The sequence below is a fragment of the Homo sapiens genome, chromosome X (assembly GCF_000001405.40).
Source record: "Homo sapiens chromosome X, GRCh38.p14 Primary Assembly".
NCBI lineage: Eukaryota > Metazoa > Chordata > Mammalia > Primates > Hominidae > Homo > Homo sapiens.
Window position 1 is genome coordinate 75,390,693 of NC_000023.11, and position 14,224 is coordinate 75,404,916.

The window sequence follows — 14,224 nt, forward strand, 5'->3', positions numbered from 1 at the left end:
TAGATCACAACACCCAAATCCCTGTGAATATTCGGAAAGCCTTCCCAGGGAGGACAAGCACAAACAGGCACAGACTGTGAAGACAACAATAAATATCTAACTCTTCAATGCCTAGACACTGATGAACAGACACAGTATCAAGACCATCCAGGAAAAGATGCCTTCACCAAACAAAGTAAATTAAGCATAATGACCAATCTCAGAGAGACTGAGATAGTAGACCTTTCAGACAGGAGAACTCAAAATAGCTGTTTTAAGGAAGCTCAGTGAAAATCAAGATAATACAGAGAAGGAATTCAGAATCTTACCAGATAAATTTTAAAATGGGATGGAAATAATTAAAAGGAACCAAGCAGAAATTCTTGAGCTGAAAAATTCAATTGAATACTGACGAATGCAAAACGGTTTCTTAACAGCAGAATTGACTAAACAGAAGAAAGAATTAGTGAGCTTGAGGACAGGCTACTTGAAAATACACACAGAGAAGAGACAAAAAAAGGAATAAAGAAAAAAGCACACTCACAAGATCTAGAAAATAGCCTAAAACTGGCAAATCTAAGAGTTACTGGCCTTAAAGAGGAGGTAGAGAGAAAGATAGGGGTAGAAAGTTTATTCAAAGGAATAATGACAGAATTTCCCAAACCTAGAGAATGACATTAATATTCAATTACAAGAAGGTGATAGAAGACCAAACAGATTTAAGCCAAATAGGACTACATCGAGACATTTGATAATAAAACTTCCAAAGGTGACAAATAAAGAAAGGATCCTAAAAGCAGCAAGAAACAACATACAATGGCACTTCAACATATCTCACAGCAGACTTTTCAGAGGAAACCTCACAGGCCAGGAGAGACTGGCATGACATATTTAAAGTGTTGAAGGAATAAAATCCCTTTTTACCCTAGAATAGTATATATAGCAAAAAATATTCTTCAAACATGTAGGAGAAATAAAAACTTTCCCAGAAAAACAAAAACTGAAGCATCAACAGCAGAAGTGTTCTATAAGAAATGCTAAAAGGAGTTCTTTGATGTGAAAGAAAAGAATGTTAATGAGCAAAAAATACAAATTTGAAGGTACAAAACTCACTGGTAATAGCACACAGAAAACACAGAATATTGTAACACTGTAGGTGTGATATGTAAACTACTCATATCTTGAGTAGAAAGACTAAAAGATGAACTGATCAAAAATAACTATAACAACTTTTGAAGGCATAGGCAGTACAATAAGATACAAATAGACATAAAAAAATTAAAAGCATGAGGATGAAGTTCATTTGCAGTTTTTATTAGTTTTATCTTTGTTTGTTTATGCAATTAGTGTTGTCATCAGTTTAAAATAATGGGTTATATTATTGCAAGCCTTACAGTTTGTATTAGTCAGGGTTCCCTAGAGGGACAGAACTAATGGAATATATCTATAGGGGAATTTATTAAGCATTAATTCACATGATCACAAGGTCTCAAAATAGGCTGTCTGCAGGCTGAGGAGCAAGGAGAGCCAGTCCGAGATCCAAAACTGAAGAACTTGGAGTCCAACATTCAAGGACAGAAAGCATCCAGCACTAGAGAAAGATGTAGGCTAGGAGGCTAGGCCAGTCTCTCTTTTCACATTTTTCTGTCTGCTTATATTCTAGCCACACTGACAGCTGATTAGATTGTGCCTACTCAAATTAAGGGTGGGCCTGCCTTTCCCAGCCCACCAACTCAAATGTTAATCTCCTTTGGCAACACTGTCACATAAATACCCAGGATCAATACTTTGTATTCTTCAGTCCAATCAAGTTGACCAGTATTAACCATCACAAGTCTACCTTTTGTCAACTTGAACCCATACACATCTCCTGAGATCATACATAATATTCAAATATAGATGATAATAAGGTCATAGTTACACCAAACATAATACAACTATCCTTTGTACAACTGCAACCGCATCAATCCCCAACCCAAATACTATTACATAAAGTTAACAATACTTAAATGTTGATGTGAAGTCAATAAATCTTATGTCACATGATAAAGGAGAAAGGAAATAAAATGAAGATATTTTCTTAGTACAAGTGTATATAGGCATAAACATTTTTTTTAACAAAACAAGGAGGAAATACTCATGACAATTACAGTCTTCATTTCTCCAGCTGGTCATGTGGTTGTAGCTGGTACTGACGACTACCTTCTTCTACTACCCATTCTGTATTCCCTTTGCCTTCAGGAAGCACTTCAGCAGGTCATGGTTTTTTTTTTTTTCCTGATAAAGTGACCCAAACCTTCATTCCTGAAGGGTCTGGGTCATTTGTAGTCCTGCCTGGATTGTGCTGTTGTAGTTTCCCATTGACCATAATCACAGGGCATGGTAATACTAACAGACGCCCTAATGGATCTCCTGTATTCCATGCATACTCTTTCTTACATCCATTGTGCAGTAGTAGACTGATTTCATCTTGATAGTCTGGGTCAATCACCCCAGACAACACTGTAACTCCATTCTTAGCCTGTTGACTTAAAGGTAGGAGGAGCCCAAAATGTTCAGGTGGCAATCATAACTTCCTGTTTAATGGAATCCTTGTTGTGTCTCCTGGTGGCAGTGTTCCTCCCTCTGAAATAAGACTCTCACTGAGGGAAATCTTAGCAGATTTGAGACTCAGTATCTGCTTCTGAAGCCAGGAGACAGAATCCTTGAGTTCATCATTTTCCTTCACCAGTTTTTCCACTGAACTTAGGAGCAGCCAACCAGCTTCATTATGTTCCTTGGTTCTCCACATAAGGTCAAAAGTATTATGTATAGAGTCACTAAACTCCTTGCCTCTCATGAGCAATGAATCAGGAGTGTCGAGTGTATTTATTTTACTAACTCTCTAAACAGTTCATGCCAAGGACCATCAGTGTTCTCCATACTATTAGAAGTAGAGTCCTTAACATTTTTGTGTCTAATCATATTAAGCAGCCAATTCCAGAAACCCCCAAACCAACAAAAGAACTCCATCCTTAATATTCTGTTCTTCTAGAACCACTGCTGGTACCAAAATCTGTATTAGTCAGCGTTCTCTAGAGAAACAGAACTAATGGAATTATATATATGAGTTTATTAAGTATTATACCACCACAAGGTCCACAATAGGCTGTCTGCAGGCTGAGGAGCAAGGAGAGCCAGTCCAAGTTACAAAACTGAAGAACTTGGAGTCTGATGTTTGAGGGCATGAAGCATCCAGCATGGGAGAAAGATGTAGGCTGGGAGGCTAGGACAGTCCATCTTTTCACATTTTTTTGCCTGCTTATATTCTAGCTGTGCTGGCAGCTGATTAGATTGTGCCCACCCAAATTAAGAATGAGTCTGCTGTTCCCAACCCACTGATTCTCAAATGTTAACCTCCTTTGGCAACACCATCACAGACACACCAAAGATCAATACTTTGTATCCTTCAATCCACTCAAGCAATCAAGTTGACACTCAGTACTAACCATCATATGGTTACTGCAAATCAAAAAACATATTACAGATACACAAAAAATAACAAGCAAGAAATTAAAACATACCACAAGAGAAAATCACCTTTACTTAAAAGAAGACAGGAAGGACAAAAAACAAAAACAAAAACAAAACAAAACAAAACAAAAACCCATGAAACAACCAGAAAACAAGTAATAGAATGGTAGGAGCAAGCTCTTTTCAATAATAACATTGAATGTAAATGGAGTAAACTATAATCAAAAGAGAAAAAGTGGCTGAATGGATGAAAAAAAAAAACAAGACCCGATGATCTATTACCTACAAGAAACACCTTTCATCTATAAAGACACAAATAGACTGAAAATAAAGGAATGGAAAAAGATATTCCATGCAAGTGAAAACAAAAACAGAGCATGTGTAGCTACAAAAATATCAGAGAAAATACATTTTAAGACAAAAACTATAAGAAGACACAAGGAAGGTGATTATATAATGATAAAGGGGTCTATTCAGCAGGAGAATATAACAATTCTAAGTATACTTACACTCAACACTGGAACACCCAGAGGTATAAAGCAAATATTATTAGAGCTTAACAGAGAAAGACTCCAAAACAATAACAGCTGGAGACTTCAATACCCCACCTTCAACATTGAACAGATCACCCAGACAGAAAATCAACAAAGTAACATCAGATAATATGCACCACAGATGAAGTGAACCTAAAAATATTTACAGAACATTTCATCCAACAGCTGCAGAATACATATTCTTCACTTTGGCACATGGATCATTCTGAAGAACAGACCATATGTTAGATGACAAGTGTTAAAAAAATTTAACAAGTGAAATAATATCAAATCCCTTATATGACCACAGTGGAATAAAATTAGAAATCAATAACAAGAGGAAGTTTGGAAAGTATATAGACACATGGAAATTAAATAATATGCTCCTGAATTACCAGTAGATCAATAAAGAAATTAAGAAGGGAAGTGAAAAATTTCAGCCCACTTTCACTACTGTGATTCAACACAGTACTAGAAGTCCTAGCTGGAGCAATCAGATAAGAGAAAGAAATAAACACATCCCAATTGGAATGGAAAAAGTCAAGTTATCCTTGTTTTTAGATGATATAATCTTATATTTGAAAAAACATAAAGATTCCACAAAAAAAACATTAGATCTGATAAACAAATTCAGTCAAGTTGCAGAATACAAAATCAACATGCAAAAATTAGTAGCATTTCTGTATGCTAACAGTGAACAACATAAAATGAAATCAAGAAAGTAACCCCCTTCACAATAGGTAAAATAAAATACCCATAAATTAGCTTAACCAAAGAAGTGAAAAATATCTACAAGAAAAGCTGTGAAACATTGAAAGAAATTGAATAGGAAGCAAAAAAATAGAAAGATATTCCATGTTCATGATTTGGAAGAAGATTGTTAAAATGTCCATACTACCCAAAGCAATCTACAGATTAAATGCAATCCCTCTTAATATACCCATGACATCCTTCATAGAAATAGGAAAAATAATCCTAAAATTTATATGGAACCACAAAAGACCCAGAATAGCCAAAGCTATCCTGAGCAAAATAAACAAAACTGTAGGAACCACATTACCTGACTGCAAAGCAGAATGGAACTAGCATAAAAAGAGACACATAGACCAATGGAACAGAATAGAGAACAAAGAGTAAACTTATTGTCAACAAAAATGCCAAGAATACTCACTGGGAAAAGAACACTCTCTTCAACAAATGGTGCTGGGAAAACTGGATATCCATATGCAGAAGAATGAAACTACACCCTTACCTCTTTCCATATATAAAAGTCAAATCAGAATAGATTAAAGACCTAACTCTGAGACCTCAAAATATGAAACTATGAAATAAAACTTTTGGGGAAATTCTTCAGGACATTGGAATTGGCAACGATGTGTTGAGTAATACCCCCTAACACACAGGCAACCAAAGCAAAAATAGACAAATGGGATCACATCAAGTTAAAAACCTTCCATACAGCAAAGAAGACAATAAACAAAGTGAAAAGACAAACCACAGAATGGGAGAAAATATTTGCAAATACCCATCTGAGAAGGGATTAATAACCAGAATACATAAAGAGTTCAAACAATTCTATAGGAAAAAATCTAATAATCTGATTAAAAATGGGCAAAAGATGTGAATAGACATTTCTGAAATGAAGACATGCAAATGGCAAACGGGTACATGGAAAAGTACTCAACATCATTGATCAGAGAAATGAAAATCAAAACTATAATGAGACCAAATCTCACCCCAGTTAAAGTTTATCCAAAAGTCAGGCAATAACAAATGCTGGTGAGGATGTGGAGAAAAGAGAACCCTTGAACAGTATTGGTGCAAATGTATGTTTTATTAAAACTACTATGGAGTATAGTTTGGCATTTCCTCAGAAAACTAAAAATAGAGCTAACATATGATCCAGCAATTCTACTCCTAGTTATATACTGAAGAGAAAGAAAATCAGTATATTGGAGAGATATCTGCATTCCTATGTTTATTGGAGCACAACTCATAATAGCCAAGATTTAAAAGCAACCTAAGTGTCCATCAGCAGATGAATAGATAAAAAGTAGTATATACATACAATGGAGTACTATTGAGCCATAAAAAAATAATGAAATCCTGTTATTTGCAACAACATGGATGGAACTGGAGGTCATTATGTTAAGTGAAATAAGCCAGGCACAGAAAGACAAACGTCACATGTTCCCAATTATTTTGGGGAGCTAAAAATTAAAACAATTTAATTGATGGAGATAGAGGGTATAATGATGGTAACCAGAGGCTGGGAATGGTGTTTGGGGGTCGGGGAAGTTGGGATGGTTAACACTTATAAAAATATTGGCTGGGTGCGGTGGCTCACATCTGCAATCCCAGCATTTTGGGAGGCCAAGACGGGTGGATCACCTGAGGTCAGGAGCTCGAGACCAGCCTGGCCAACATGGTGAAACCCCGTCATTACTAAAAATACAAAAATTAGTCAGGCATGGTTGTGCATGCCTGTAATCCCAGCTACTCAGAAGGCTGAGGCATGAGAATCACTCGAACCCAGGAGGCGGAGGTTGCAGTGAGCTGAGATCACACCACTGCACTACAGCCTGGGCAACAGAGTGAGACTCCATCTCAAAAAAAAAAAATTGTTAGAATAAACAAGATTTAGTATTTTAAAATAACTAAAAGTATAATTGGACTGTTTGTAACAGAAATAAAGGATAAATGCTTGAAGTTGTAGATATTCAATTTATCCTCATTTGATTATTACACATTGTATACCTGTATTAAGATATCTCATATACCCCATAAATATATACACCTAGTATGTACCCAGAAAAATTAAAAATAAAAAAAAACTTGTTTTAAAAGGCATAGAGTGGCTGAATGAATAAAGAAACAACCTGGGGAGTAGTGGCCAAGATGGTCAACTAGAAGCAGCTAGGTTGTGTGGCTCTCATGAAGAGGAACAGAAGGGGTGAATAAATACAAGACCTTCAACCGAAATATTCAGGTACTCACATTGGGATTAATCTAGGAAACAACTTGACCCACAGAGAACAAAGAAAAGCAAGAGGACAACGGCCCATCTGGGAGCAACACGGAGGCAGGTGAATCCTCCTCCACCCAGGGAAGCCATGCTTCTCCCACAGATCTTTGCAACCCTTGGGTAAGGAGGTTTCCTTGTGAACCCACCCCACCAGGGCCTTCAGTCTTCAGTCTGACAAATAGAGTTACATGGAGTCTTGGCAGAGCAGCCGCTCAGGCATGTGTGGAGACACTGGAGCCTTAGAAACTTGGGCGTTTCAGCAAAAGTAGCTGCAGCTCCCACAAAGTGGGAGGTTAGACTCTTGTACATAGCCCTAGGAAAGAAGCTGAATCCAGGGGGCTGAGCAGTAACAGCCCACAGGCCTCACTTCCATGGCACCTCACAAGATAAGACCCACTGGCTTGGAATTCCAGTCAGCTAGCAGTAGCAGCATTGCACTTCCCTAAAAAGGAGCTCCTGGTGGGAGGGGCGAGCCACCATCTTTGCTTTTCAGGTGCCTTAGCCGTTCCAGCCTTCAGGCTTTGAGAGTCTAGCTGACCTGGGGCAAAAGGGATTCCCCAGCACAGCCTAGCTCCTCTACCAAAACAAAGCCAGACTGCTGCTTTAAGCCGGCGCCTGATCCTGTTCTTCCTCACTGGTCAGGTCCTCCCAACCAGGGCCTCCGGCCACCCCCACCCAATCTCTCCAACTGACAGAGATCTGAATTCCCCCTCAAAAGGCATTCCCAGAGGGGGATGGACCATCATTTTTGCTCTTTGGATGACTTAGCCATTCCAACCTTTGGGCTTTGGGGTGTCTGAGGTGACCAGGGTCTGAAGTGGACCCCCCAGCAAAGCACAGCTGCTTTAACAAAACATGGCCAAACTGCCTTTATAAGTGGGTCCTGATCTTGTTCCTCCTCACTGGGCGGGACCTCCCAACTGGGGCCTCCAGCTATCCCCACCCAAGCTCTCCAGCCAACAGAGATCTGAACTCCCCCTGGGACAGCACTCCCACAGGGAGGGGTGGGCTGCCATCATTGCTCTTTGGGCATCTTACCCATTCCAGCCTTTGGGCTTCAGAGTGTGAGGTGACCAAGGGCTGAAGTGGACCCCCAGCACAACGCAGCTGCTCTATCAAAACAGGATCAGACTGCTTTTTAAGCAGTTCCCAATCCTGTTCATCTTCACTGGCCGGGACCTCCCAACTGTGGTCTCCAGCCACTTCCTACAGGTGCCTTTGGGCCAGCAACAGGTCTGTAACTCCCTGGGACAAAACTCCCTGAAATAGGGACAAGTTGCCATGTTTGATGTTTCACAGCCTTCACTGGTGACACCTCCAGGTTGTGGAAAATCTGAGGTGATTAGGATCTGGAGTAGGCCCCAAGCATACCACAGCAGCCCTATGAAAAAGTGGCCAGACTGTTATGTGGTTGCCCGTTTTCATATCTCCTCAATGGGCAGGTCCTCCAGGCCTGGCCCTCCAGCCACCCCCCACCAGAGCTACTAAGCTAGTACCAACTCAGCAACTCCCTGGACAGAGCCTCCAGGGGCAACTGAAAGCAAAGCCTCTTAGCCACTGCCTCTGTAGTGGAACTACTCTTGCCACCCTTGGAGTAACAAAGGAGCAAAGACCCTAAGTGTCTTATCCATACCTCCAACAAGCTGTAGTTGACCCAAGGAGAGGAGGCCAGTCCATCTCCCACAGGTCCTAAACACCACCCATGGCTCATCACCAGACAGGGAACCCCTGGCTTGGGCATAAACCCTTCACCTTGGGCTGACTGCACTGAGCAATTGCTGACCTGTATCTCTCTGGAGTAAAGCCTCCAGGAGTCAAGTAAACGACCCTTGGTCACAACCACTACTAAGATCTCCTCCTCTGCTGCCTCTACGCTGGGGAAGGAACATAAGCACTAAGATCACCCCAGAGCTCCAGTGGGCAGCCCAACTGTGCCAAGTCATGAACTACAGCCAGACTAAAGGGGGAGAGGAACCTTCACTTTCAGAGCACTGAGAGGAAATATGGCTGCAACTGTGAGAAAAAATAGGGGAGCTACACAACTGAGCAAGAGTCTACCAAATGACCAGTAAGCCTGAGTGTCACCTGCTGGTTCATACCCCAAAACTTCAACACCAAAAATTCATCACTAAAATAACCCCCTCTGATACCAGAGACAAGAAATCAGCTTCAAATAAAGACACTACACAAAGCCTCAGCCCAGTGAAAACATCCAGAAAAGAAGTATATTGACTGTACTCAAGCTACACTGCAGTTAAAGAAACACCCACACGCAGAGATGAGAAAAAAACCAATGCAAGAACTCTGGTAACTCAAATGGCCCGGGTGTCATATGTTCTCCAAATGATTGTACAACTTCTCCCAAAAGAGTGTTTAACCAGGCTGAACTGGCTGGAATGACAGACGTAGAATTCGGAATATGCATAGGAACAAAAATCATCAAGATTCAGGAGGATGGCAAAACCCAATCCAAGGAAAATAAGAATCATAATAAAGTGATACAGGAGCTGAAGGATAAAATAGCCAGTATAAAAAAGAACCTAATGGGTCTGACAGAGTGGAATAACAGAATATAAGAATTTCACAATGCAATCACAAATACTAACAGCAGAATAAACCAAGCTGAGGAAAGAATCTCAGAACTTGAAGACTGGTTCTCTGAAATAAGACAATCAGAGAAAAATAAAGAAAAAAGAATACAGGGAAATGAACAAAACCTCCAAGAAGTATGAGATTATGTAAAGAGGCCAAAGCTACAAATCATTGGCATCCCTGAAAGGAAGGGGGAGAAAGCAAATAATTTGGAAAATACATTTCAGGATATTGTCCATGAAAACTTCCCCAACCTTGCTAGAGAGGTCAACAGTCAAAAGCAAGAAATACAGAGAACCCCTGCAAGATTCTACACAAGAAGATCATTTCTAAGACACATAATCATCAGATTTTCCAAGGTAGAAATGAAAGAAAGAATGTTAAAGGCAGCTAGCCAGAAAGGGTAGGTCACCTTCAAAGGGATCCCCATCAGGCTAACAATGGAACTCTCAGCTGAAACCCTATGAGCCAGAAAAGACTGGGGGCCTATATTCAACACTTATAAAGAAAAAAACTTCAACCAAAAATTTCATATCCAGCCAAACTAAGCTTCCTAAGTGAAGGAGAAATAAGATCCTTTTCAGATAAGCAATGTTGAAGTACTTCACGACCACCAGACCTGTCTCAGAAGAGATCTTGAAAGGAGCACTAAATATAGAAAGGAAAGACTGCTACCAGTGAATAGTGAAGCTGGAACGGATGCTGACAGAACAAATGTTCAATGAAGAGGATGGAAAGTAGCGCATCACTGAGGCTGGACTCCAGATCTGCACTGCCAGCCAGCTGGGGTCTGACTGCACATGGCTTCTGATGAATCTTGTGTTTTTTTACAAATTGGAGCACGGACAGATCATAGATTTCTGATTTTATGTAAAGTTTTGCCTAATACATTAAAGCAGTCACTTTTCCTGTGCTGTTTCCAAAAAAAAAAAAAGAAAAGAAAAAAGAAAAACACACTTAAACACACTGACCAGTGTCACTGCAAAGCAAGCACACAAATAAACCAACATAACAACCAGCTAATAGTACAATGACAGGATCAAATTCACACATATCAATACTAACCTTGAATGTAAATGGGCTAAATGCCCCACTTAAAAGGCACAGAGTGGCAAGCTGAGTTAAAAAGCAAGATCCAATGGCATGCTGTCTTCAAGAGACCCATCACACATGTAATTACACTTATAGGCTCAAAATAAAGGGATGGAGAAAAATCTACCAAGCTAATGGAAAACAGAAAAAAGCGGGGGTTGCAATCCTAATTTCTGACAACAGACTGCAAACCAACAAATATAAAAAAAGACAAGGAAGGGCATTACATAATGGTAAAGGGTTCGATTCAACAAGAAGATCCTAAGTATCCTAAATATATATGTACCCAACACAGGAGTATCCAGATTCATAAAGCAAGTTCTTAGAGATGTACAAAGAGACAGAGTCCCACACAATAATAGTGGGAGACTTCCACACACCACTGACAGTTTTAGACAGATAAATGAGACAGAAAATTAACAAAAACATTCAGGACCTAAACTCAGCATTGGGCCAAATGGATCTGAGAGACCTTTACAGAAGTCTCCACCCAAAAACAACAGAATATAAATTCTTCTCATTGCCACATGGCACATACTCTAAAATCAGCCACATAGATGGACATAAAACAATCCTCAACAAAAGTAAAAGAATGAAAATCTTACAAAACACACTCTGGAACCACAGTGCCATAAAAATAGAAGTAAACACAATAAAAATTGCTCAAAACTATACAATTACATAGAAATTAAACAACATGCTCCTGAATGACTTTTAGGTAAATAATGAAATTAAGGCAGAAATTAAGTAGTTCTTTGAAAATAATTAGATCAAAGATACAACATACCAGAATCTCTGGGACACAGCTAGGGTGGTATTAAAGAGGGAAATTCATAGCACTAAATGCCCATATCAAAAAGCTAGAAAGATCTCAAATTAACAACCTAACATAACAACTGAAAGAATTAGAGAAGCAAGAACAAATAAACCCCAAATGCTAGCAGAAAATGAGAAATAACAAAAATCACAGCTGAACTGAAGGAAATCAAGACATGAAAAACCATTCAAAAGATCAACAAATCCAGGAACTGGTTTTTTTGAAACATTAAAAAAATGGATAGGCCACTAGCTAGACTAATTAAGAAGAAAAGGGAGAAGATCCAATAAACACAATCAGAAATGACAAAGAGAATGTTACTACTGTCCCCACAGAAGTAAAAACCATCAGAAGCTACTATGAACACCTGTATGCACACAAACTAGAAAACCTAAAAGAGATAAATTCCTAGACACATATACCCTCCTAAGGCTGAACAAAGAAGAAATGGACTCCTTGAAAAGACCAAGAATGAGCTCCAAAATTGAATCAGTAATAAACAGCCTACTAAATGAAAATGCCTAGGACCTGATGGATTCACAGCCAAATTCTACGAGATTACAAAGAGCTGGTACCATTCCTACCGAGACTATTCCAGAAAAATGAGGAGGAAGGACTCCTCTCCAACTCATTCTGAGGCCAGCATTATCTTGATACCAAAACATGGCAGAGACACAACAATAGCCACAACAACAATTCACCTTCAGGCCTATATCCTTGATGAAAATTGTTGCAAAAATCCTCAATAAAATATTTGCAAACTGAATCCAGCAGCATATCACCAAGCCAATCCACCATGATCAGGTAGATTTCATCCCCGGAATGCAAAGTTGTTTCAACATATGAAAATGAATAAATGTGATTAATCACATAAATAGAACTAAAGACAAAAACCACATGATTATCTCAATAGATTCAAGAAATGCTTTTAATAAAATTCAACATCCCTTCATGTTAAAATAACTAGGTATTGAAGTAACATACCTCAAAATAATAAGAGCCATCTATGACAAAGTCCCAGCCAACATTATACTGAATGGGCCAAAGCAGGAAGCATTCTCCTTGAAAACCGGCACAAGACAAGGTTGTCCTCTCTCATCCCTTCTATTCAACGTAGTATGGGAAGTCCTAGCCAAAACAATCAGGAAAGAGAGATAAATAAGTGGCATCCAAATAGGAAGAGAAGAAGTCAAACTATATCTGTTTGCAGATGATATGATTCTCTATCTAGAAAACCCCATAGTCTTGGCCAAAAGCTCCTTCAGGTGATAAACAACTTTAGCAAAGTTGCAGGACACAAAATCAATGTACAAAAATCACTAGCATTCCTATACACCAACAACAGTCAAACCAAGAGCCAAATCAGGAACGAATTCCCATTCACAATTGCCACAAAAAAGTAAAATATTTAGAAATACAGCTAACCAGGGAGGTGAAAGATCTCTACAATGAGAATTACAAACTACTGCTCAAAGAAATTAGAGAAGACACAAACAAATGGAAAAATATCCCATGCTGATGGACAGGTAGAATCAATATCATTAAAATGGCTATACTGCTGGAAGCAATGTACAGATTCCATGCTATTCCTATCAAATTACCAGTGTCATTTTTCACTTAACTAGACAAATGTTTTAAAATTCTCATGGAAGCAAAAACGAGCCTGAATAGCCAAGGCAATCCAAAGCAAAAAGAACAAAGCTGGAGGAATCATGTTAGCCAACTTGAAACTATACTACAAGGATACAGTGACAAAAACAGCATAGTACTGGTACAAAAACAGGCACATAGACCAAAGGAACACAATAGAGAGCCCAGAAATAAGGCTGCACATCTATGAACATGTGGTCTTTGACAAAGCTGACAAAAATAAACAATGGGGAAAAGACTCCCTATTCAATAAATGGTGCTGGGATAACTGGTTCACCATATTCAGACAGTTAAAGCTGGACCCCTTCCTTACACCATATACAAAAATCAATTCAAGATGGATTAAAGAATTAAGTATAAAACCCCAAACTACAAAAACCCAGGAAGACAATCTAAGCAGTATTATCCTGGACACAGGAATGGATAAAGAGTTCATGACAAAGACACTGAAAGCAATCACAACAATAGCAAAAATTGACAAATAGTATCTAATTAAACCTAAGAGCTTCTGCCCAGCAAAGGAGAATATCAACAGAGTAAACAGACAACCTACAAAATGGAGGAAAATATTTGCAAGCTGTGCATCTGACAAAGGTCTAATATCTATCATGTATAAGGAACTTAGGTAAATTTACAAGAGAGAAACAAACAACCCCATTAAAAAGTAGGCAAAGGACATGAGCAGATGCTTCTCAAAAGAAGACATACATGCAGCAAACAAACATATAAAAAAAGCTCAATATCACTGATCATTAGAGAAATGCAAATCAAAACCACAATGAGATACCATCTTACAGCAGTCAGAATGGGTATTATAATAAAGTCAAAAAATAACAGATGCTGGTGAGGTTACAGAGAAAAGGGAACCCTTATACACTGCTGGTGGGAGTGTAAATTAGTTCAACCATTGTGGAAAGCACTATAGCAATTCCTCAAAGATCTAAAAGCAGAACTACCATTTCACCCAGCAATCCTGTTACTGGGTATATACCCAGAGGAATATAAAGCATTCTGCCATAAAGA

The 14,224-nt window shown here is 38.9% G+C and overlaps 1 protein-coding gene across 12 annotated transcripts in view; it reads right to left on the reverse strand.

Annotated features, from left to right (window-relative positions):
- Positions 1–14,224, reverse strand: part of ZDHHC15 (zDHHC palmitoyltransferase 15) — a 154,611-nt gene that overhangs the window by 22,266 nt on the left and 118,121 nt on the right. For 2 of the 12 annotated variants that reach the window (XM_047441868.1, XM_017029296.3), the window contains one exon: positions 12,462–12,679. The exons of the other annotated variants lie outside the window; for them this stretch is intronic. In XM_047441868.1, the coding sequence (XP_047297824.1) occupies positions 12,660–12,679 (20 nt within the window). In that variant the 3' untranslated portion in view covers positions 12,462–12,659. Of the gene's footprint in view, positions 1–12,461; positions 12,680–14,224 lie in introns of those variants that run through there. 12 annotated transcript variants of the gene reach the window in all.